This window comes from Homo sapiens, chromosome 2, assembly GCF_000001405.40.
Source record: "Homo sapiens chromosome 2, GRCh38.p14 Primary Assembly".
Lineage (NCBI taxonomy): Eukaryota > Metazoa > Chordata > Mammalia > Primates > Hominidae > Homo > Homo sapiens.
In genome coordinates, this window is record NC_000002.12 from 34,261,394 (window position 1) to 34,288,744 (window position 27,351).

At 36.4% G+C, this 27,351-nt stretch overlaps 1 long non-coding RNA gene across 1 annotated transcript in view; it reads left to right on the top strand.

The window, feature by feature from the left end:
* Positions 1 to 27,351, top strand: part of LINC01317 (long intergenic non-protein coding RNA 1317) — a 590,861-nt gene that overhangs the window by 554,508 nt on the left and 9,002 nt on the right. Inside the window, exon 5 of the long non-coding RNA NR_126403.1 lies at positions 25,250 to 25,353. This is a non-coding gene — a long non-coding RNA (long intergenic non-protein coding RNA 1317). The remainder of the gene's footprint in view (positions 1 to 25,249; positions 25,354 to 27,351) is intronic.

Genomic DNA, 27,351 nt, shown 5'->3' on the forward strand with positions numbered 1-27,351 from the left:
ACTCTAGAAAGGGTGCGAATCCAGCATGCAGACTCCACAGGTGGAGGAAGAACCAAAGCCCTTTTCTTTCCCAGCTGGGAGGTGGGTAGCCTGGGGCAAGTTCTCAAGCCCTGATCGTCACTGCCTGGAAATAGACTCGGTGCTGTTGGGTGGGGTGACACCTTGGGAGTGAGACTGGCCCTTCCGATTGCATGGGAGCTGGGTAAGGCCTGTGACTGCCAGCTTTCCCCAACTTCCCTGATAACCTGCATGACTCAGCAGAGGCAGCCATAATCCTCCTAGTTATATAACTCTATTGATCTGGGAACCTCAGCCCCCATCCCTGACAGCAGCCGCAGCAAGATCTGCCCAGAGAGTCTGAGCTCATAGACGTCTAGCTCCGCCTGCACCTGATGTTCCTTCCCTACCCACCCTGGTAGGGGAAGACAAAGGGCATATACTCTTGGGAGTTCTGGGGCTCCACCCACCATCCATTCTCTATACTACCACTGCTGATGCTCTCTGGAAAGCGCCCCCTCCTGGCAGGAGGCCAACCAGCACAAAAATAGAACATTAAACCACCAAAGCTAAGAAGCCTCACAGAGTCCATTTCACCCCCGAGCCATGTCCACCAGAACAGGTGCTGGTATCCACAGCTGAGATACCCGTAGACAGTTCACAACACAGGACTCTATGCAGACAACTCTGAGTACCAGTCCAGAGTTGGGTAGACTTGCTGGGTGGCTAGACACAGAAGAGAGATAACAATCACTGCAGCTCAGTTCACAGGAATCCACATCTGTAGGAAAAGAGGGAGAGTACTATATCAAGGGAACATCCGGTGGGACAAAAGAATCTGAAAAACAGCCTTCAGCACTAGACCTTCCCTCTGACAAAGCCTAAGCAAATGAGAAGGAACCAGAACATTAACTTTGGTAATATGACAAAACAAGGCTCTTTAACCTCCCCCCAAAATCACACTAGTTCGCCAGCAATGGATCCAAACCAAGAAGAAATCCCTGATTTACCTGCAAAAGAATTCAGGAGGTTAGTTATTAAGTGAATCAGGGAGGCAGCAGAGAAAGGCAAAGCCCAAAGCAAACAAATCCAAAAAACGATGCAAGAAGTGAAGAAAGAAATATTCAAGGAAAAAGCATAAAGAAAAAATCCTCAGGAAACATTGGACACACTTATAGAAATGCAAAATGCTCTGGAAAGTCTCAGCAGCCTTGCTAGAGACCTAGATATCCAAATACAAGAAGCACAAAGAACATCTGGGAAATTCATCACAAAAAGGTCATCACCTAGGCACATTTTCATTGGGTTATCTAAAATTAAGAAGGAAAGAATCTTAAGAGCTGTGAGACAAAAGCAGCAGGTAACCTATATATGAAAACCTATCAGGTTAACAGCAGATTTCTCAGTAGGAACCCTACAAGCTAGAAGGGATTGGGGCCCTATCTTCAGCCTCCTCAAGCCAATTATCAGTCAAGAATTTTGTTTCCAGCAAAATTACGTATCACATATGAAGGGAAGATACAGTCTTTTTCAGACAAACAAATGCTGTGATAATTTGCCACTACCAAGCCCCCACTATAAGAACTGCTAAAAGGAGCTCTAAATCTTGAAACTAATCCTGGAAACACATCAAAACAGAACCTCTTTAAAGCATAAATCACACAAGACCTATAAAACAAAAATACAATTTAAAAAGCAAAAACAAAAAACAAAAACAAGTTACACAGGCAACAGAGAGCACAGTGAATGCAATGGTATCTCACATTTCAATACTAACATCAAATGTAAATGACCTAAATGCTCCACTTAACAGATACAGAACTGCAGAATGGATAAGAACTCACCAACCAACTATCTGTTGCCTTCAGGAGACTCACCTAACATATAAGAACTCACATAAACTTAAAGGGGTGGAAAAAGGCGTTTCATGCAAATGGACACCAAAAGTGAGCAGGGGTAGCTATTATATCAGACAAAACAAACTTTAAAACAGTAGCAATTAAAAGAGACAAAGAGGGACATTATATAATGGTAAAAGGCCTTGTCCAACAGGAAAATATCACAATCCTAAACATATATGCACTTAACACTGGAGATCCCAAATTTATAAAACAATTACTAATAGACCAAAGAAATGAGATAGACAGCAACACAATAATAGCAGGTGGCTTCAATAGTCCACTGACAGCACGAGACAGGTCATCAAGACAGAAAGTCAACAAATAAACAATGGATTTAAACTATACCTTGTAACAAACGGACTTAATATATATACAGAAAATCTCATCCAACAACTGCAAAATACACATTCTATTCAACAGCGCATGGAACTGTCTCCAAGATAGACCATATGATAGGCCACAAAATGAGCCTCAATAAATTTAAGAAAATTAAAATTATATCAAGCACTCTCTCAGATCACAGTGGAATAAAGCTGGAAATCAACTCTGAAAGGAACCTTCAAAACCATGCAAATACATGGAAATTAAATAACCTGCTCCTGAATCATCATTTGGGCAAAACCAAAATCAAGATGGAAATTTAAAAATTCTTAGAACTGAATGACAATAATGACACAACCTATCAAAACCTCTGGGATACAGCAAAGGAGGTGCTAAGAGAAAAGTTCATGGCCCTAAACGTCTACATCAAAAAGACTGAAAGAGCACAAACTGACATTCTAAGGTCGCACCTCAAGCAACTAGAGAAATGAGAACGAACCAAACCCAAACCCAGCAGAAGAAAGGAAATAACCAAGATCAGAGCAGAATTAAGTGAAATTGAAACAAAAGAAATACAAAAGATAAATGAAACAAAAAGCTGGTTCCTTGAAAAGATAAATAAAATTGACAGGCCATTAGCAAGATTAACCAAGAAAAGAAGAGAGAAAATCCAAATTACCTCATTAAGAAACAAAATGGAAATATTACAGCTGAAACAACAGAAATACAAAAGATCATTCAAGGCTGCTATGAATACCTTTACACATAAACTGGAAAATCTAAAAGAGATGGATAAATTCCTGGAAAAATAGAACCCTTCTAGCTTAAATCAGGAAGAATTAGATACCCTGAACAGACTAACAACAAGCAGTGAGATTGAAGTGGTAATTTAAAACTCACCAACCACAAAAAATTCCAGGACCAGATGGATTCACAGCAGAATTCTACCAGACATTCAAAGAAGAATTGGTACCAATCCCATTGGCACTATTTTACAAGATAAAGAGGGAACCCTCCCTAATTCATTCTGTGAAGCCAGCATCATCCCAATACCAAAACTAGGAAAGGACATAATCAAAAGAGAAATCTATAGACCCATATCCCTGATGGACACAGGCGCCAAAATCCTTAACAAAATACTAACTAACCAAATCCAAGAACATATGAAAAAGATAACTCACCATGGTCAATTGGATTTCATACCAGGGATGTAGAGATGGTTTAAGATATGCAAGTCAATAAATGTGACACACCATGTAAACAGAATTAAAAACAAAAATCACATGATCATCTCAATAAATGCAGAGAAAGCATTTGACAAATTCCAGCATCTCTTTATGATTAAAAATCTTAGCAAAATGTAATAAAAGCCATCTGTGACAAACCCCGCAGCCAATATAGTGATGGGAAAAAGCTGAAAGCATTTTTTCTGAGACCTGGAACAAGACAAGGATGCCTACTGTTACCACTCCTCTTCAACATAGTACTGGAAGTCCTAGCCAGAGCAATCAGATGGAGAAAGAAATAAAGGGCATCCAAATAGGTAAAGAGGAAGTCAAACTGTCAGTGTTTGCTCACAATATGATCGTTTACCTTGAGAACCCTGAAGACTCCTCCAGAAAGCTCCTAGAACTGATAAAATAATTCAGCAATGTTTCCAGATACAAGGTTAATGTACACAAATCAGTAGCTGTTCTGTACAGCAACAGTGACCAAGCAGAGAATATAATCAAGAACTCAACCCCCTTTACAATGGCTGCCAAAAAAAAAAAAACCCAAAAACAAGCAAACAAAAAAACTTAGAAATATACCTAACCCAGGAGGCAAAAGACTTCTACAAGGAAAACTACAAAACACTGCTGAAAGGGATTATAGGTGACACAAACAAATGGAAACACATCCCATGCTCATGGATGGGTAGAATCAATATTGTGTAAATGACCATATTGCTAAAAGCAACCTACAAATTCAATGCTATCCCCATCCATATACCACCATCATTCTTCACAAAATTAGAAAAAACAATTCTAAAATTCATGTGGAACAAAAAAAGAGCCTGCATAGCCAAACCAAGACTAAGCAAAGAGAACAAATCTGGAGGCATCACATTACCTGATTTCAAACTATACTATAAGGCCATAGTCAACCAAACAACATGGTATTGGTATAAAAATAGGCACACAGACCAATGGAACAGAATAGAGAACCCAGAAATAAAGCAAAATACCTGGCACATAATAGGTTTTTTAGTAAACATTTTTCAAATTAAATAGCTATTTAAGTAACATATGTATGAATAATTAAATAAGTGAATACAAAGTAACATACAATTCAGTTTGGGATGAATTGTACAGATAATAATTACTGTAGAAGATCAAAGAACTTGGTAAGAGAGTTTGGAAGGGAGGTTAAGGTAATTTCATTGGACCTTGAAAGACATCTCAATTATAAATAAGAAATGGCTTTCTCTTTGAGATAAGGAACCCGCATTTGAGAAAAGACAGAGACATAAATGAATATGAGTATTCTTAGAATAATGAAGAAATGTATCTTGAACTGAAAGCTCTCTTTGGAATTGTAATAAGTAACTTTTAATCAGTACTAGTGGCATGCTGGAGGGATTGAATTTATGAATGAATAGAATCAGGAAAACCTGTTATATTCTATGACAATGTAATAATAATCAGATAATATATTTAAGAACCAAGAGTTGAGAACCTAGGTTAAAGTACTAGCAGTTAAAATGGAAATCAAAAAGTAAATTAGAAATTTGTGGGAAATAGCACAAGGAGTAAAATATAGTTAAACCAATAAATATTTCTACCACCCTAGTCCCAGCCATCAAAAATTTCCCTGTCAGTGGTCTTTGACTTGGTCTCTCTAGTATTAGACTTTCATTGCTTTATCTCTCAGTCCCACATCAGCTCACGTTGCTATAATAACCCCTATTCAAAACCCTCAAATAGCTTCCCATTGGTTTAACAAATTAAATCCAAACTGTTAATACAGTCAACAAGGGCCTTTATGGTCTGGGCCAGAGTAATTCTCCAGATTCATTTCCCATCATTGCCCTGGCCCATGCTGCTCTGGCCACTTGGGCCTTCTTGCTGTGATGGGAATATGCCACCACTTTCTATCCTTGTGGTCTTAACCTAGAAGGCTTTTACCTAAAATATTTATGAGGCTGGCATCATCACTCCATTCAATGTTTAGTTCAAATGTTACTGCCCCAGGAAAGACTTATTTCATCACTCTATCAAAATTGATTAAAGTTCATATAGATTCACTTTCTATTCCCTTATCCTGATTTAATTTTCATCATAGATTTCTTCTTTCCATGGAAGCATGTTGTCGAGTTATTTATTGCCTTGCTGGTTATCTGAATCTTTCTCTACCTTTAGAACAAGGGTTTCAAACCCCCAGGCCATGGACTGGCACCTGTCCTTTGCCTGTTAGGAGCCAGGCCGCAGAGCCGGAGGTGAGCTGTGCTCACTGGCACATGACCACTTGAGCTCCGCCTTCTGTCAGATCAGCGGCGGCATTAGATTCTCACTGGAGCACAAACCCTATTATGTTCGTTAGGGAAGATGGCTTGTAGTTTTCTTTTCTCATTGTGCCTTTGTCAGGTTTTGGTATCAAGGTGATGCTGGCTTTGTAGAATGAGTTAGAGAGGAGCCCCTCCTCCTCAATTTTTTGGAATAGTTTCAATAGAATCGATACCAGTTCTTCCTTTGTATGTACAGTAAAATTTAGCTGTGAGTCCATTTGATCTGGGGCTTTTTTGGTGAGTAAGTTTATATACTACTGACTCATTTTCAGAACTCTATAATTATCTGTTCAAGGTTTCAATTTCTTCTCATTCAATCTCTGGAGGTTATGTGTTTTCAGGAATTTATTCATTTCCTCTAGATTTTCTAGTTTGTGTACATAGAGGTGTTCATAATAGTCTGTGAGGATCTTTTGTGCTTCTGTGGGATTGGTGTTAATGTCACCTTTGTCATTTCTGATGATGCTTATTTGGATCTTCTCTCTTTTCTCTTTGCTAATTTAGTTAGCAGTCTTGGTTTTGTTTTTCATTTCGAAGACATAACTTTTGATTTTATTGATTCTTTGTATACATTTTTGGGTCTCAATTTCATTCAGTTCTGATCTGATTTTAGTTATTTCTTTTCTTCTGCTAACTTTAGAGTTTGTTGTTCTAGTACCTCTAGGTGTGGTGTTAGATCATTAATTTGAAAATCTTTCTAACTTTTTGAGGTAGGCATTTAGTGCTATAGGCTTTCCTCTTAACACTGCTTTTGCTGCATCCCAGATATTTTTAATGTTGTGTCTCTGTTTTCATTTATTTCAAAGAATACTTATTTCTGCCTTAATTTAGTTATTCACCCAAATGTCACTGGGTTGTTTAATTTCCATGTAATTGGGTGTGGTGGCTCATGCCTGTAATTCCAGCACTTTGGGAGGCTGAGGCAGGTGGATTGCTTGAGTCCGGGAATTTGAGACCAGCCTGGGCAACGTGGTGAAACCCTGTCTCTATAAAAAATATAAAAATTAGTCAAGTGGTGGCATGTGCCTGTAGTGCCAGCTATTTGGGAAGCTGAGGTGGGAAGATTGCTTGGACTGGGGAAGTCAAGCCTGCAGTCATCTGTGATGATGCCACTGTACTCCAGCCTGGACGACAGAGCGAGACCCTGTCTGAATAATAATAATTATAATAATAATAATAATAAATAATAATAATAATATCCATGTAATTCTGAGATTTTGAGAGATCTTTTTAGTATTGAGCTCTATGTTTATTCCACTGTGGTCTGAGGGTATGTTGGCATTATATCAATTTTTTTGCATTTATTGAGACCTGCTTTTCGGCTGAGCATGTGGTTAATCTTAGAGTATGTTCCATGTGCAGGTGAGGATAATGTGTATTCTGTGGCTGACAGGTGGAGTGTTCTGTAGATGTCTATTAGGTCTGGTTGATCACGGGTCAAATTTAAGTCCAGGATTTCTTTGTTAGTTTTCTGCTTTGGTAATCTGTCAAATGCTATCAGTGAAGTGTTGAAGTCCTCCACTATTATTTTGTAGCTAAGTCTTTTCATAGGTCTAGAAGTTCTTGTTTTATTAATCTGGGTGCTGCAATGTTGGCTATGTATCTATAGAGGATAGTTAAGTATTCTTGTTGAATTGAACCCTTTAGCATTATACAGTGCCCTTTGTCCTTTTTAATTGTTGTTTGTTTAAAGTTTGTTTGATATAGGAGTAGTGACCACTGTTCTTTTTTGTTTTCCATTTGCATGATCGATCTTTCTCTACCCCTTTATTTTAAACCAATGGCTGTCGTTATATTTGAGATGGATCTCTCAAATACAACAGATGGGTGGGTCTTTTTTTTTTTAATTCCACCTTGCAACTCTGTGCCTTTTATTTGGGGGTGTTTAGCCATTTACATTCCTCATTAATATTGATACGTGACCTTTTGATCATATCATGAACTTGTTAGCTGGTTGCTTTATACTTTCTACTGTGTGGTTGCTTTTTAGGCTCTGTGGGCTATGTACTTATGTGAATATTTGCTTATTTTTTAAATCATCTGTTGATGGATGTTTGGGTTGGTTTTAGTTCCTAGCTTTTGTGAATAAAGTTTTTATAAACATTTATAAGTATTTATGTAAAAATACTTTTCTTGAAGAATATTTGCATTTCTCTTTAACACTATGAAAGGAATTGCTGAATCATATGGAAGGTGTATTTTTTAATGGGTAAGAAATTTCCAAACTGTTTCCCTAACTGGTTGTGGAATTTTACACCCCCATCCATAACAGTAATATGTAATAGTTTCAGTTATTCAAAATCTTTGTCAACACTTTGTATTGCCCTTTACTTTTAAAATTTTTATTATAGTGGGTGTAAAGTTATATATCATTGTGGTTTTAATTTGCATTTCCCTAATTAATGATATTGATCATCTTTAGTGTTTGCTTATTTACCATTTGTCTATTTTATTTTATAAAGTGCTTGTTCTAGCCAAGTCCCTATTTTTCTTGTTTTTGAACCACATGAGTTCTTTTTGTATGTGTATGTGTATGTATATACATATATATATTCTCAAATATATATCTCACAGTCTATGCCGTGTTAAAAATATCAAATAGCGTCTTCTGAAGACCAGATATTTTTTATTTTAATAGAGTCCAATTTTTCAATATATTTTTACAGTTTGAGTTTTGTGGTGCCATTTCTAATAATTTTCTACCTGCCTCAAATTATGAGGATTTTATGTTTCTCCTAAATATTTTTAATTTTTAGTTTTCATGTTTCACCTCATGACTCATTTTCAATTAATTTAATTTTCTTGGATGAGGTACTGTTTGGTATTCATTTATTTTTCATATAGAATTCTAGTTGTTTGTTCAAATGACAGGTATCTTCATTGAATTACTTTGGCAACTTGTCAAAAATCAGTTGATGACTTCTGGTTTAAGATCTGACATGTAAGGAGCATGGATGTTATTACTCTCCTGTCCTCACAATGAGAAAAAAAGCAAACAAAGTAAAAATTAATGACTTCTTCTAGATATCAGATAACTGAGGTCACAGAGCAAACCACCACTCTGGAAAGATGAGTGACCTGAATGCAATCACAGTTGAGATCAGCTAGAGTGAAGCAGAAACTCTTGGAGGCAGAAACAAGTGGTAACACTTCTATGGTAATTTTGAGGAATTGCTGGAGTCTGAGTGTAGACTAACTTGATGGTTAGAATTTCTGGGGGCCTAGTTTTGGAGAAAATATTAATAAATGTCCTTCACATCATTAATCATTAGAGAAATGCAGATTAAAACCACAATGAGATATAACTTTACACTCACTATAATAACAATTTTAAAACTAAAACAATTGACAATACCAAGTGTTGACAAAGGTTTTACTAGAGGTAAGACCCATGAAAGGATGAGACCCCCCAACCTCTTAAAACTAGGCCCCACTAGGTTCTCACAGAAAATATCAGAGAACAAAATCTCCTCTCTTTCGGGCAAGAAAAAGGTAAAATTAGACAGTTTTAAATACACCTAGAAAATTCTCCATAAAAATGCCTGCCTCCCAAAGGAAACCACTTTACCTGAATTTTATCTGACATGAAGCAAGGACAATTAGACAACTATAGCCTCCTCGAGCTTTTCTCTCTTACATAGAAGAAAGAAAAATGGCTAGTAAATGACTCTGGCCCACTAAAAAGCTGAGATTCAGTCATAAGATTATAGAATGCTTCTGTTTGTACCACATCAACAGGGCTCCAGTATAGCAGTAGATTACAGCTGACAGAACTGCAAGACACAGATTCAGTTTAAGAAGGAGGTCTGAGAGAAACCCCAAAACAACAGGAGGTAAAAAACAAGCAAACAAAAGAACAAAGAAACTAGACAAAACTGAAGACTCTTGCATCTACATTCACTGCAAACATTAAATACCACTAAGCTCCTAGCCAGGTGTAATGTAAAAACCTCACATTAAAAACTTAGTTAACTCAGTTTCTGCTAATTGACACATTATGTTCAGCTTTCAACAAAAAATTAAGTAAGGAGACGAAACAAGGATCAGAACTAGACTCAGGTATGACATAGATTTTAGAATTATCAGATAGAAAATTTACAATAACTATGATGAATACATTAAGGGTTCTAGTGGGAAGAGTTGACAATATTCCAGAATAGATGTGTGATATAAGCATTGGGAACAATGAAAACTCCACGAAGAAAATCAAAAGGAAATGCAAGAAATAAAAAGCACTGTAACAGAAATGAAGAATGCCTTGGATAGGTTCATCACTAGATTAGACATGACTCAGAAAACAATCAGTGAGCTTGAAGATATGTCAATAGAAACTTATCAACTGAAATGCACAGAGTAAAACAAACAAAAAGATCACTCCAAACCAGAACAGAATATCCAGGACCTGTAGGACCAATACAAAAGGTGTTACATACCAGTCATCGATATACCAGAAAGAGTAGAAAAACAGAAAAGAGAAGAAGAAATATTTAAAACACTAATGGCTGAGAATTGTCCAAAAATAATATTATTTATTACCAATGTACCACACTCATGCAAGATGTAAACAATAGGAGAACCTGTGTTTATAAGGCAGAAGGTGTATGAGAATTCTCTGTGCTGTCCTGTATTAGTTTTTTAAACAATATTTCTTTAAAGTTTTAAGTTTTACTATTTTATAGTTTTTGCCTTAGCAACTAAATTCTTTCCTCTACATACAATTTGCCATTTATTATCTCTTTGCTTCAGCTAGAACAACAACCCTTAGTGTGTCTTATAGTGCATGTCTGCTGTTGACAATTTCTTTCATTTTTTAAATTCATCTGAAAATGTCTATTTCATACTTGTTTTAAAAAGACATTTTGTTGAATATAAAATTTACATGAAATATGAATGTCAAAATATATGAATCATATATGAATTTTATATGATATATTTTATGATTTTCCATTTACTTTTGGTTTTCACCATTTGCCTATCTAGGTGCGATTTTCTTTGTATTGATTCTGCATGGGGTTCTCTTCTTATATAATCAAATTACTGTTAGCCCTAAAGTTAGTTAAATTTTTGACTATTTTGCCTTCAGATATTTTTTCTGCCCTAGTCCCAATCTCCTTTTTTTCTGTGACTCCAGTTATATATATAGAGAGAATGTTTGCTAAGTCCAACAGCTCAATTATCTTGTCCATTCTTTATCTCCTTTTTTTAAAAAAAATTCTCATTTTTTTGCATGCTTAGTAATGTTTACTGTTTACTGTATAGTAGATAATACGTTAAAGAGAAATTATATTCTCTTTAACGGAATGATTTAAAGGAATGATGGTTCCTTTTTAACAAGAAGTTATTCTATAGGATGATCAACCTGAATGTGTGTATTTTTAGTTTCGTTAGCGTGCATCATTGGAAACTCAACATATTTTTAAAAGCTCCTCTATACATTGTATAATTTAAATTGCAAACTTTGTCTTTTCTGTGAATTTTGTCAGTGTTCATTTTAGGTATTGTGATGGTGGATGTAGAGTAACTTTTACTCTGCAATATAGTTTTCACTTCTAAGTGAAATATTCAAAGGTGTAGATTTTATTGTGTTTTATTTGGATAGCGATGGTGTGAACAATGTCTGTCTACTCTGGCCGCTACAACATTCCAAAGTCTCCTACTCTTAACCCCATGGTAGTCATTTGCTAATAAACCTCATGTGGTCTCACCCTGTGTATGCATATCCAAACTTTGGCTGAGGACTCATGGGGAACTTCCACACAGATTTTTAAAACCCACCTCAATCGACACCAGTTGTCTCTAGTTTCCTCCCATGAAGATTTCTGCAGCCTCTGCAACTCAAACTCCTATGTTTGTCTCCTTAGTTTAGCAGACCACTGTGCCCTGCTTGGGCTTCATTTATCTGTGCTATTTTTGGGAAATTGTCTCTGTGGATAGAACTAAGAAAAACATGGGGCTTCCTTATCTCTGTGACTTTGTCCAATTTTATATTTGTTTACGGTAGGACAACTTCAGTATCAGGTACTGTTATAACTAGAAGTCAAAGCCATATGTCTTATATTATTATATTTGAATTGAGTATAATTTGTCTTCAACTTTATTGTAAACCCCTACAGACAAACACTAATTCTTATATTTTATTTGAAACTCCCAGAACCTTGGCATTCGGTGAACATATATTTGTTTCTTTATTCATTCATTAAGTTATTTTACAACCTTTTATTAAGTACCTACCATGTGCCAGACATGGTCCTACGTCCTTACAGGGGAAAATTAACACAGGACTTCCACCTATATTAGCTCATAACCTAATTGAAGATGGGCTGTATTTTGTGGAATAGATATGTAAATTAGTTCTTAAAAAACAATATAGTTTATAGCTATAAAATACAATAGAGGGAAAATAGATTAAATCATTTCTCCTGGATAGTCAGAGATAGCACTGTATTGCAGGTGATTAAAAATTCAGATTTAATTGAATTATCCAACATATGAATATAAATCGTTTTTTAGAGAATAAGGCGACATCAAAATAAGTTTATGCAAAATTAGCAAAAAGAATAATCTTATGACAATATTGCAGGGTGATACTATCGATAGTTACCCATTATGTTGGTGGAGGAAAGGATTCGTTTTATGTTTCTGAAGAAAATGAGGCATCAGTGAGTAACATCCTTTCAAATTTGCAGTTTTTTTCCATAGCGCATGAATGGTCTTGTTCTCATAGCTTTTGTTTTCTGCCATTTTGCAGTGTGTCGTTATTAATTTTTGTGCTATTTAGTTTCTTCCAAAGTGTAGTAAAGTATCAATTAATATTTTATTATCTCAGAAGTGCTTGTTTCTGTGATGAGATTTGCAATGCTTCTGTAGTTGGCTTTGCATATAATTGGCACTGTCCTAGTCACTGCTACTCTGATTGATGCTATAGGCGTTGAAGGCATGTGGCAAAAGGGAATATAAAAGGGAATATGGGATAAAAATCATGAACAAACATACTTCATTTTCAGGTTTCATGATTATGTTAGAAACTGCTGTGTGTACAATCAATTAATCATCAACATTTAAGTGCCTGTTATTTGGGAGATGTAAAAAAGAAAAGTATCAAACATAACTTTGCCCTTCAAGGAGGACTTACAAAGCTTTCATAATCAATATTAGTTGAGAAAGCAAAACACCTGCAGGAAAGAGCCCTGAATGTATTCATTAAATATATTGCACATGTTCAGTGAGCAAAACATTATGGAAGATGCTGAGAAGCTAACAAAGAGGAGTAAGACAGAATATGTGTCTGGAAGATGCTTACAGTCTGGCAGAGTAGACAGATATGCAAGTAAATTGTTACAACACAATGCATAATGAAATACGTGTTAAAGCAACAAAGAAATTATTGAGTACTTATATATTCCATTCATTAGCTCACTTAATCCTCAATGCAACCTATGATTTAAGTACATTATTATTTCCATTTTACAGATTGGAACACTAAGGTATACAGGTATGTGAAGTAACTTACTCAAGATAACCAACTAGTAAGTGACAGAGCTAGTGTATGATTTCAGGCAGCTTGGTTTCCACATTCTACAAATAAAGTTATAATGTGACGCATAAAAGGAAGCAATTCATTCTTAGAGTATAATGCTGAGAGACTTGAAAATATTATAAGCCACGTTATCTTCATGGGTTAATTGTTAGTGATAAGGTATAAGTTGTCTCCAACTGCATGGAGAATACACAGATATAGAAAATATAACCATCTTCTGTTCTCAAAGCTAACACAAATTCTCATGCCACCGTAGAGTAGAAAGGAGCCCAGGATTCCTATATCTGCTACCTACCCACTACCTCCCTAAAAGATCAAGGATTACTGCAAACTATCACTCAAGACCACTCAAGTCCCCTAAGACTTATTTTTCCAAAACCTTATAATTATTTAGTCAGTTCCTTAGATCCTTTTATCCAAGTTTTACCTCTAGAGCACACATATCTCTCCAGTCAGCAGAAATATTTATTCCTCTTTATAAATTATTAAATTAACTTTATGGCTTAAAACTAAGTATCTCATGAATTTTGTTATCATGAATTAGAAATAAGTCTGTATAATGCTTTATAGTGTTCTTCTACATAAATTATCTTATTTAATTTCCATAACAGTGTAGTATGTTAGGGAAGGTTGATATTAACACCTCAATTTTAACCATGAGGAACTGAAGACTTAGGAAAGTTTGAACAACTTTCTTGAATTCATATGGCTGTGTGTTGTTAGGCTTGACTTAGAACTAATCCAGCCTACTCTTTTTTTCTCTCTCTCTTTCTCTCTTTTCTGCTGCCTAGGGCCTGATGATACCTGGGTGTTCAGAAGAATTTGAGTTTATGAAAGTGCAAATGTGGTTATCACAGCTACAATGGTGGTGAATTCATTAGGGCACAGCCACTCCATGAGACCTGGCCTAAAGTAGGCATCCAGGCAGCCTCAGTCATTTGTTAGTATTGTCACAAGTGGCTGAGAACTTCACTATGATAGATTAGAGATGGGAGTGTGTGAACTTTGTAGAAGCAGGGAACTTTGCTGGACTTTGAAGGAGGAATAGCATTTGAAAAGGTGGAGACAATAATGATGCCATTCTGGATAGAGAAGCAGCATGAACAAAGGTACTAATAGAGAGATTGCTAGAAAACGCATTTGGATTATAAACCATATTGTGGGAATTAGTTGGAAATCAAGTTGGATACACAAGATGAGAAGGATATTAGTTTAGAAGTATGACATGGAAAATATGGAGAATATAATACTCTTGAAACAGGGACTAGTATGCTTAATGGGCTGTTTGGGGATCATCAATCCATTTTTGTTTGGAAGAATGAGTAATGTTGAGGCAAGGAGATTAGAGCAAGGTCAGCTGGGAGCTCTATCCTGTATGGTGATGAGGTCTCCAGTTATGAGAATGATGTGGGAATAAAGAGAAAGAGGACATTTTAAATATGGAAATGTTTTGATACAGTGACACACCGGATTCAGAGGATGAGGCATAGAGAAAATTTAAAAATAACTTCAAGGTTTCTGGTTGAGATAAAAAGAATGTTGAAGCCACTTGCAGCAAAAACTGCTAAAGAAAGGGTCTAAGGTTTAGAAAAACATTTTTCTTGCTTGTTGAGTGTGATGTGATGTGATCCACAAGGAGGATGTCCACCAAGAGAAACCTTATGGGCTGATTAGAAAGTGAAGTCGGAAGAATTTGATCTGGAGACTTTGATAAGGGGTGGCATTGAATGCCATCAGATTGGGGGTAAACACAGAGGCATGAATCAGAGAAATAAAAGCAAAGGGTCAATATTGGAGGCTTGTGGAATTGCCTCACTTAGGTGCTGGATGATGTGTGGAAGCCTGAGAGAGAGACCCAAGAAGGAGTGATCAGAGATGCAGAAAGAGAGCCAGGAGAGAGACATGTCAGTGAAGCCAGAAAAGAGAAAGGATCAAGAAGTTGAGTACATCAATAGTTAAAAAAATAAAATACGATCAACAACAGGAACTTAGGAGAAACATATGATTGAGTATAATAATAATGTAAACAAAGGAATTTGGGCAAAAGAATTCAGGTTGAAGAAATTAATCCAGTGTAACTAACACTCTCAGTAAATAAGTGTATTTTTATTAGTTCTAATAGTTTTATTAGTTTATTAAAAGTTCTAAACTAACACTTTTTTTTCTTTTTTGCTGTTTTAAATATACAATGTTACAAAGTCAGTGACCTACATGGCAATTTGTAGAATTCATCCTGAAAGCTGCGGACATAAATATGTCCTTTAGAAATTTCACCCGTTTGGATAAAATTAGTTGAGAAAAGTTAAAAATATTTACAGAAAGAGTGAAATTTAAAAATTAAGTAAGGTACAAATTCTGTGCAATGTTAAAAGTAACCCCAAATCAAAGTTGAAAAAAAAAAGGCACACAGAGGTAGCACTTGCAGACATCCTAAATAAGCTATGTACGTTCAAGCACCTGGTGCTGAGAAAATTTTAGAAGCAGTATATTTAGTCACAGTTCCACTAGCTCATCATGCCTTTGCTATTTTCTAAATTCTGACTTTATTGCTAGAGAGATTTACATGAAAAATGATGCTTTTAAAAGTTTCAACTGTTTCTCCTGTTTATTCCTTCACCTGAAGTCATAATCATATTTCCATAGGAATAAATGATGATTTCACAGGCAAAGGATTATAGCTTTTGGGGGACAATTAGGTGTCAGAATATGAAGTTCTTAAAATGAAGGTCTTGTTTATAGTATCAAGTGTTTGTGACAAACACAATGAGTAGTGATGAAAATGTGCCCCAAAATATGACGTGTCATGTGGGCGATTGTCTACATTCTGAAGAGATTTCTAGCATCTAGAATTTTTTGTTATGGTATGAATTTAAAATAATGGAGGCCGGGTGCAGTGGCTCACGCCTGTAATCCCAGCACTTTTAGAGGCCAAGGAGGGCGGCTCATCTGAGGTCAGGAGTTCGAGACCAGCCTGGCCAACATGGCGAAACCCTGTCTCTACTAAAAATACAAAAATTAGCCAGGCATGGTGGTGCATGCCTGTAATCCCAGCTACTGAGGAGGCCGAGACATGAAAATTGCTTGAACCTAGGAGGCAGAGGTTGCAGTGAGCCAAGATCATGCCACAGCACTCCAGCCTGGGCAACAGAGCAATACTCCATCTCTAAATAAATAAATAAATAAATAAATAGAATAACTCTGCTCAGCCCTGTCATAGGGAGTTCTTGTGAGGAGATATTTCTTTTGTGGCTTAAATTGCTCCTGTAATGTTATGTTGCTACTGCCATTATTGCTACAGAGACTTCATTTGTATTACAGAATGTAGGATACCAAATGTCAGCACATGAAATGTGTCTACATGGAACTAATCCCTGTGATGGTCAGAAGTGAGTAGTGCTCCAGCTAGTTCAACCTAGAGTCAAAATTCAAGAATTCCATAAAACCACTGGGAAAACAATTGTAAAGTGATTCCTGGGGAATTCACTTTTTCTACCCCCAAATCTTATATCCACTGGAGAATATACATTCTCTATTAAGCAGTCAAAGGTGAGCTCTAAGGTGGTACAGATGGAACACTGCTTACCTTTCCAGTGCTTAGCTTAGTGCCTGGCACATGGAAGTCACTCCCCCACACTGGCCCCCTCTGTGTGTGTGTGTGTGTGTGTGTGTGTGTGTGTGTTGAATGAATGAATGAAAAGGAGGATCAGTCAGAAGTGCTTCTGGAAACAGACTACTTTTTGCTCTGTGCCTGTGGGAAAAAAACTCTGCCACACTTTTCCAGGCTAGGATGAAAACTTAGAAGCTACTGCTTCTCTTATGGTTTGATAGCATGGACATTTTCCAACATGATTGTGTGTGTCTTCTGCACTACCAGTTTTTGTTAGATGGTTTCCTGGAAAGGTGTTTCCTAGCTGGTATTGTCGACTGCATCCTCTAGGGAGCACTGAGTAACCTCTATTTAACCTCTCCTGGTATAGGAATATCTTCCCATAATAACCTTCCTACACACTATGCTTACCATCCTGACATGGAGATTGAGGCCAGAGTTACATTAAACATATGTAAAAGTTATACAAACATGCCTTATGAAGTTTGGCTTCCAAATTTGTGAGGAGGAAAGAAAGCATGCTAGAGAAAAGACAGAATAATCTTTTTCCTTTCTTTATTGAAAATTACATGACAAAATCCTTGTCATATGAAGGGGCCATCAAAGGCTATTCAGCTAACGATGTAGGAAAATAGTATTTTAGATATGTGTTGGTTAGTAAATAAATAATAACATGTTAGTTTTCTGGATTTTACAGTTTTTTTTTTTAACATTTGTAATTGATTTGAGATTTCTTGAATCATTCTAATTAAGCATTTGCTTTAATACCTAATTTTGTATTTATAATTTTGTATTATTTTTCTTAAAAAAAGGGGTGCCCAAGTTGTATAAGCTTCAGGCAGTACAAAATCTGTTTCCTGCCTCATATGTCCTGTTGCTTGCATTTCCCTAATGGAAAAAGCCTTATCAACATTTTTGTTAAGAAATGAGAAAATGTCTAAAGGGTTCTGGCATTATTCTGTTTCCACCAGAGAGGCTAGAACCACTTTATGTAATACCCCTGGGGCAATCAGTTTATAGTCACCTCTTTAAAGATGACATAAGAAGTAAAAAAACAAAAACAAAACAAAACAAAAAAAACAAAAAAAGTTCAAAGCAAGTTTCTGGGTTCTCTGCTTTCACAGATGTGGTTCAAAGAGTGCTGAATTTAGAGTCAAAATGTTTGAATTATGATTCCTGACCTGCCTCTCATGAGCTGTGGGACCTTGAGGAGATCCTTTCCCCTCACCGAACCTCAGTCATCTCTATCTCTCAAAGATGGCTTTTATCTTGGCTTATTTCACAAAGGTCTCATGATCAAATGAGATAATATATGTCAAAGAGGCACTGCTGTGATTAAAGTGCACTGGTTTAAGTTGTTGCTGATATTTGTTATTTCTTAGTAAGGAGAAAACATTCTATGACCGAGTAGGAAAGCACCTCCTCTACCCCTATTCAATGTTCTTAATAAGTATGTGTATGAGTCCATTTTCATGCTACCGATAAAGACATACCTGAGAGTAGGCAATTTACAAAAGAAAAAAGCTTAATGGACTCATAGTTCCATGTGGCTGGGGAAGTCTCACTATCATGGTGGAAGGTGAAAGGCAAGTCTCACATGGCAGCAAACAAGAGAAGAGAGCTTGTGCAGGGAAACCTCCCCTTATAAAACCATCAGATCTGGTGAGACTTATTCACTATTATAAGAACAGCATGGGGTAGACCTGCCCCCATGATTCAATCATCTCCCACCAGGTCCCTCCCACAACACGTGGGTATTGTGGGAACTACAATTCAAGATGAGATTTGGGTGGGGAAACAGCCAAACCATATCAGTATGGGTGCTGGAAGATGGCTGGGGGAGACAAGGAGTCAGATGACATGTAGGGGAAGTAAAAGGAGCAATGGGGGTGAGGGACAATGCTAGTTTCATAAATGTCCCAGATAATGAAGCCAAAGAGAAAGGTCATTTGCGGCCTTCCAGCCTGAATTCCTTCAAGCCTGTTTGTGAATGTGATCTCAATTAGTCTATCAGCTGGCTACTGCCTACTAACAACCAGTTAGTTATTTTTGACACTTTTTCTTATAATAATCCATATATTTGATGGTTACTGTATTATATGGAGCTGTCGCCACACCAAGTTTTCCATATCGAAGGCTGCAAAATGAACAATTGTTCTTGTCTTTTGTTTTCAGGATCAGTTGCACAATTCGTGAAGAAATATCATTTGTGGGGGCTATTGGAAAGATTATCCTACTAGGAATGAGGGAATTCTATTTAATCCTAGCTTTTAAAAAGGCAGTATACACTGAAAGTAGGTCGTATACCCTCTCTGAGTTTCATGTTCTTTGTTGGTAAAATAATATCAGCCCAATTGCACCAAAGGCATTTTTAAGATAAAATAATAAAGCGTAGATGTTGAAGAATTTTACCAAGCATAAAATGCTACCCAACTAAATGGTGATATTATTTGCTAAGAACTCCTAATGAGGAGGCAGTTAAATAAATTAACTATGAGATTGAGAAATGGAGAAATCAGCAGATGCAAAATCTACTAATTTGATAATTCCTAGGGCCATTAGTTTGTCATATGTACACATGCACTGACATAAAAATAAATAGAAAGCACTCTTTTCATCTAAAAATGGCTTTTCCTCTTCTGGATAGTTTCATAATGACAATCTGGCATCTATCAATTCCATCTAAAAGCATTGCTTGAAGCATTTAATCAGTCTTTCATAAATGTGCATGTCTGCTGCTTTTATAAATGTGACCAAAAAAAAAGGTTCTGAATATATTTTGCCCTTTTTCTGATTCTCAGACAGAACCACTGACAAGGATTCTAGACTGAAACTTCCCACAATGCACTGATGGTGACTTCCAGACAAATATCAGCTAACCACTGTATACCATCAGCTGCCCACATTGGAAGAAACAAATCAGAAAACCGCTGTTCCATATTCAAAGAAATGAAAGAACGGCATAAGTAAAATGACAGGCTATTAATTCTGGTTTGGAAAGCATGAATAACACTTTTGATGAAGTTTAAATTTCTTTTGGCTCTTCAGAAATGGATAAATCATTTAAAATAAAAATAGATGTTGTTTTACAGAACACTCATTTCTCTCAATATTTATTATTTGGGGGAAAAGTGTTTTTTTAATGATGAAAAATAATGAAGTGTTCACATGAATGCTTCGATATAGCACACAGTTCATTCTCTGATGCCTCAGTGAGCTCTAGACTCAAAAATTATTTGGTATAATTTAAGTAAACGTCCAGTATATAAAATTTTAATTGAAAAGATATGATATTTCATTAAATGCGGTCACACATCACTATTGTCGCCAAATGAGGCTTGGCAGTATCTCCAAGACACTTTTCTACTGACTGGATTTTGTCTTCAGCCTGAGCCAAATGTAGCCTTCAAGATATACGTCAGTTATCATGTGCTGTACAAGAGAGATTATATCTGTATATAGACATGTTATACATTTATATGTTTTCTATCATTTATACAATTTATTTTTATATGAATACTTTTATCTGCAATTTCATTATAAAACTTCAGCAATGTTAGAATAATTATCAATTTGTAAAAGCCTTCCACCTGGAAAAGTATTTATAGTTCTAGGAATTAACAGAATGCTGTGACAGTAAGATACAAAAAGAGAAGAAAGCATTTTGGAAGTAAATATTCCCTGGGAGTCTGTCTAGAATGTGTAAGCAAGAAAGATAAAGGGAGCTCTTTTTGGTTTTTGCAAATTCTTTTTCCCATTTCTGAGATAATGAGCTTTATTTTCTGTTTTTCCTGGGGTTGGCACATTCACCTTGAAGAAGTTTCAGGGAATACCAGTGAGGCATGCACACTACCACTGTGTTTTAATTAGGATCCATTCTCCTACATCATCATATCTAACTTGACTTATGTTCCCTGCAAAGTTATATTAGAACCAAAGAGCCCACAGGACAGCTCTGCCCCGCCTAATTATTCTGAAACTTACTGAAGGGGTTAGTGAGCATGTAGGTATCAACTGCCAGCTTACTGAACAATTCAACGTACCTGGAGAAACTCCTGGACGAATGTAACTCTACCACTTTTCTCTGTTTGCACCAAATTTGGGCATTTACTTTGGAATGCTAGTTTCATGTAACAGTTCATCTTCAACCCTTCCTTCTTCTCCGAAGTCTCCAGGATGACACCTGATGCCACCCACACCAGCAGCACAGTGGCCATTAGTGTAACATAAGTGACCTGCTTCCCATTTTTTTTCTGTATAAGGGGCTACCACACTGGGCTTCTCAGCCAATCACTCCTGTCCATATCCTCAAGGATTCACAATTAGTAAGAATCTCAAAGAACTGGTACGCAGGTTCTTCTGCTTATTTTTCATACTTTAATGATTTGGGGGAAAATCTGAAAAGTGGAATCATGCAAGTGTCAAAAAGGGATTCTGAATAATATCTTGTTATGTTTTCTCATTTCACAGTCCTGATTGAGACTTGGGGCAAGCTGAAGTTTTGTTGTGTGTAATTATTGCTATTTTTAAGCTGAAAACACTTTTTTTTTTTTTTTTTTGAGATGGAATCTTGCTCTGTTGCCCAGGCTGGAGTGCAGTGGCACCATCTCAGCTCACTGCAAGCTCCGCCTCCCGGGTTCATGCCATTCTCCTGCCTCAGCCTCCTGAGTAGCTGGGACTACAGGCACCTGCCAACTACACCTGGCTAATTTTTTTGTATTTTTAGTAGAGACAGGGTTTCAACCGTGTTAGCCAGGATGGTCTCCACCTCCTGACCTCGTGATCCGCCCGCCTCGGCCTCCCAAAGTGCTGGAATTACAGGTGTGAGCCACCGCGCCTGGCTTGAAAACACTTTTTGCTTGACAAGGGGTTGGTACTCAAATATACTTTTGGAGTAGATAGTCTCTTTGTTTTGACGGAAAAAATCTAACATCTGAATATATCCTTTAGGGTTCATCTTATAATGCAGAGATGGAGGTACTTCTCAGTTTTCCATAAGAAAACATAGTTTAAAAATGTAGCTCTTTAGAGTGAGATTCTAAATCAAAATTGGTAAAATAAATCCCATGGATGACCAAGGCATAACTGTGGCTCTAAAATGGTTGGACAAATGTGTGGGGAGATTTTCTTTTCTTGATATACTTGAACAGGTTGTGTCTGTAAATTTTGCCTTGCAAATATTACAGAAATGTATATGTCTGTGTAAATGAGAACATGTGAGTGGTGGAAAGAGAGGGAGAGAGAACTTTCGTTGTGGTAGCTCTTCACCTCCCATGGGAGGGCGTAGATGGAAAATCAGCAGGTAAGGCCTTCACGCTTGGGCTTCGTGATGGGGAAGCAAGAAATGAGAAGGGAACGGCCTGTGCTTGGCTTGATTCCACCTGGATTGCCTGACATTCGACTTGGCCTCCCACACAAGAACAAATAACCCAATATATTGATTATAATCTGATATAATTGTTGTTTAGGGACCAAAGGGTAAGTCCATTTTTGTCGTAGGTGTTAATGATTATCATCAGAATAGCTAACACCTACTGAGCACTTATTACATACCAAGCGATATTCTAAATGCTTTACACACGTTAATTGTTGCCCTCACAGTAGCCTCTGAGTTAGGAACAATTGATAGTCCTGTTTTAAAGATGAGAAAACTGAGGCCCATGGAGATCAAGTAACTTTCTCATGGCTCCAGAAAGAAAGGAAGCTGCAAACTGGGAAGGGGCTGAACTTCTAGGGTTGGTGGAGTCAGGTTGCTCTTTATCTTGGGTTTGTGATTTTCCTGATGGAAAATGGTTACCAACAAAGGTAACCATTTATGGCAAGACTTCAGAAGGTCCCTCTCACAGTGGGCTTCCCAACAGGTAGAGGGAAATGAAAAATCCATGAAAGCATCCCACTGGTGAAAGTGCTAGCCACAGGGCACCTGCCATACGGAATTCACCTACATCTGATTAGAATTCGGCCAGTCAGTTAAGGTTTGTTTTGTTTTGTTTTGTTTTTCATCCTTGTCTCTATCTCCGTCTGAAATTCAGTTCCTTGGGTTGCTATATGATTATCTTGTAAATGCATTAAAATGTATTGGTTGATATGATCATAGGCATTAAACTATCCTGACTGCTGTTACATGAAATAGACATAGTTGTAAAGTAAACATGACCAATCTCACTGATTTTTAATTTATGTCTTTCTACCTCCCCGAAGGCAACTACTATCCTGACTTTTGGTATGTGTGTGCGTGCACGTGCATGTGTTTATTAGTGTCTAGCTTTTTATTTTTTATTTTATTTATGTATTTATCTATTTATTTATTTTTTGTGTGTGTTTTTGAGATAGGGTCTTGCTCTGTCACCCAGGCTGGAGTGCAGTGGTGCTATCTCAGCTCACTGCAACTTCCATTCCCCCAGGCTCAAGCGATTCTCCCACCTCAGCCTCTCTAGTAGCTGAAACCACAGGTGCATACCACCATGCCCGGCTAATGTTTTTGTATTTTTGGTAGAGATGGAGTCTTGCCATGTTGCCCACGCTGGTCTTGAACTCCTGAGCTCAAGCAGTTCACCTGTCTTGGCCTCCCAAAGTGTTGGAATTACAGGGGTGAGTCACCATGCCCAGCCTAGCTTTTTAAAAAAGTATTGAATTCAAGTGGTGAGAATAAATATCCATATCTTGTTTATTTAAAAAAAACAACAACTTTTGAGTTCAGGGGTACATGTGCAGGTTTGTTACATAGGTGAACATGTGTCATGGGGGTTTGTTGTACAGATTATTTCGTCACCCAGGTATTAAGCCTAGTACCCATTAGTTATTTTTCCTGATCCTCTCCCTCCTCCCACCCTCCACCCTCCAATAGGCCGCAGTATGTGTTATTCCCCTCTATGTGTCCATGTGTTCTCGTCATTTAGCTCCTACTTATAAGCGAGCTATACATGTGGTATTTGGTTTTCTGTTTCTGTGTTAGTTTGCTAATGATAATGGCCCCCAGATCCATCCGTGTCTCTGCAAAGAACATGTTCTCATTCTTTTTTATGGCTACATAGTATTCCATCATGTATATTCATCTTGTTTCTGATCTCAGAGAAAGTATGTCATTAACCAAAATGTCCCTTCCATTCTTAGTTTACCAGGATGTTCTTTTTGAATCATAGATTGATGGTAAATTTCATTAAACTTTTTCTTTGTCTATTGAGATAAGCACATGAGTCTTCTTCTTTACTCTGTTAAAAGGGTAGAGTACAATGATTGTCTAATTTTCAATCAACATTTCATATCTGAAATAAATCTTATTTATGATATAATTCTTATTGAAATAGTTTTAATATAGTTATTATTTTGTTTGTTTGCATTTATGTTCTTGAGTGAACTGGACCTATGATTTTTCTCGTACTGTTCTTTTTGTGTTTTGTTATCAAGATTACGATGTCCTCATAAAAAGTTGAAGACTGTACCCACTTTTTCTAGTTTTGGAAAACTGTACGTAGCATTGGTGCTGTTTCTTCCTTACATGTTTCGCAGAATTTGCTAGTGAAAATGATTAGTGTAGAGTTCTATTTGCAAAACAATAATATAGTTCAACTTTCTTATTTACAAAACAGAAAAAATCAGGGAAATGAATGATATATTTAGTAAGCAATAACTCAGAAGCAGGTGAACTGCTTCACTAATTTCACTTCCCTGGAATTATCAAATCAGTGTCTTTAATAGTTGAAGGAATATATAGGTTTTTCCATTTTTTTGTTTTGTTTTATAAATTATATTTTCTAAGATTTATTTCATCCAAAAGTTTAGTTATCAAGAAAATTGTTTATATTATCCTGTTACCTTTTTAAATGTCTGATCTATAGATTATGTTTTTTTAATTCTTGATAGAGTAGGACCAAATTAGGTTCTACTCTGTTTTTTAAAGTCGTGATCACATATCACTAGAGGTTCATCAGATTTACTTCTTTTTTTTTTCTAAAATCAAATATTAGCTTTTTTGATATTCCTTATGGAAGAACTCCAGTGAAGTGGCCAGAACTTGGAGATACTGACTTAGTAGTAGTTTAAGTAGGCATTGTGCTAGGGGAATGATGTAGAAGCAGAAGGTCACTTGACTGCAGTGAACCAACACCAGCGAGGAAGCCAAGCCTATCCCAGAGAGACCAGATATTAGAAATTCATCCTTTGAATGTCACGTGAGCCTTTGAGATTGGAATTCAATACTAGAACAGAGAAGGAATTTCAGTAATGAATGAGATGGAATTTTCCTTCCATCCCAGAAGGCCTGAAGTTAGAATTGTATTGGTATTATCAACATTTTCCTAGCTTTACCTTCATAATCTCTCATTTTTGTTTTTCCACAGAGGTGAATCACTTCAAAGAGAAGGACCAGATTCTCATGGACCCCACTGCCATGCTGGCCAGACATCTTGCTGCCATTGTTTTCCTGTTATTTACTCCCAAACAGGTAAATTTCCAGATCTTAAAAGGAGTTATGCTATAAATAAGTTTTTGTATGTGTGTTAGTGTGTGTGCATGTATTATAGGGATTTGATTATAATTTTTAATTAGCACAACTTCAGGTACACATATATCAAAGGAACACTATGAGTATTTGGCAATTAATGTTTGTAAATCACCTTGAGATCCTTGAGGTAGAACGATGCTATATAAATGAATAATGTGGTAATAAAATTAATAATGCATGCACTGACATTCCCAAGCCAGTTGCCTGAAAAAGATCTTGAAGTTGAAGGAGAGCTGTGCAAAATGTAGCTATCTAAATAAGAAAATATTGTCATACTCCCCTTAAGCTATAATGAAAAATATCTGCAAAATACAGAATACAAACATAACCCATGCCTTTGATTTCTAATATATGTATGAATGCTTATCATTTGGATAAGTAAATATTTCACTATTTGTTTATAGTAATTACATCAAGAATTAAAGACTGTAATCATTTATCTGGGATGATATTATGTGGAAACTAATTGGCAGTTGTTTCAACATAATTGCTTAATGTTGTTCAATGATAAATTATGATTCTATTACTAATTCAAGTCTTGTCAATGGCATAATGGATATTTCTGCAAATATTTTTAGAAATAATCTGTAAAAGGCAAAAAAGAGCCTAAGGTGCACTCAAGCCATAAAATAAATGACTTTTCATATCTTCATTTCCTTTCAATATTAAAGGTCAATGATCTTATGCCTCTAACAACATCCTTTCCCTCTGGCACTGCAAAAGGAGGAAGAGGAAGAATATACATGTTTACTCTATGTATGCCACTAAATTCAACCATTTATATTTTGGTCAGTTGAATTCTGAAAGTTCTGAAAATGGCATCAAACTTTATAGAACAAGTAAAATGAGTTGTTTCCCTAATTACACATAGTAAGTTAGGGCACTGTGTTGTTACTAAATAAAACTTTTAGAGTTGAGAAAATAGAAGGAAAAGCATGATTTTATTAGATATTAACTACTTCTACACCCCAATTTCACCACTCTATTTTATACATAGCCAATTTTATATGAGAAACTATATTGTTTATTTTTGTTGCTGTCGTTTGTTTGTTGTCCCCCAACAAGAATATAAGCTCTTTGGAGCAGCATCTTGTCTGTCTTTCTTACATGTGTTTCTACTTTACCTACCCCATAATAAACATTTAAGAAATATTTCTGAATAACTAATTAATGATCAAGAACCCCATTGTTTCCTTCCCCAAACAATGATATTATTATTTGGGGAGATTTTTATTGTTATAGGGAATTATAACAATTCAACTGTTGCTATGAAATTTCCTAATTTCTTGGAAACAAATACCTAAAAGGAAAATAGGAAGGCATAGAACTTGCTTCCTGGGAGTCAGTGCTGTACAGGAGCTGACTTGTGTTGGCTCACAAAAGCTGCTTGTCTTCATTTCCAAGTCTGTGGTTAGTGATGTTACATTGTTTGCTTTCAATAGGCTTTGGAGGGGTATGTAGACCACAGAAATAGGAATATTCCACAAGTCAGGGCCTCCTGCCTCACCCTATCCATGGAGAGCTTGTTAAATATCTAACAGCATACCATGGTGGAGGTAGGGGGAAAATAAAGGTAAACTTGATAATGGATAAGTCATGGAAAATCATGATATAGAATAATATATATATAATAGCTATTTTTTTCTTCTATGCTGATGTCAGAATAGAAAGAGGAAGTGTCTTCAAACTTGGCAAATTTACAAACATAAATTAAAAATAATGAAGTATCCTTATGGTCTTTAAAGCATTCTCATTTAGATAACGCACTTTTACTTCAGGTCTAGGCAAAATGTTTCTCAATTTCAGTACACTAACAGAGTAGAAGAAAGCCGGACAAGTGAGAATGAAGGTTGTTGGAAAAAGCCTAGATTCTACTCCCACTTCTTAATCACAGTTTGTAGACTGAAGTGATTTATATTGAGGTTGGAGACACATACA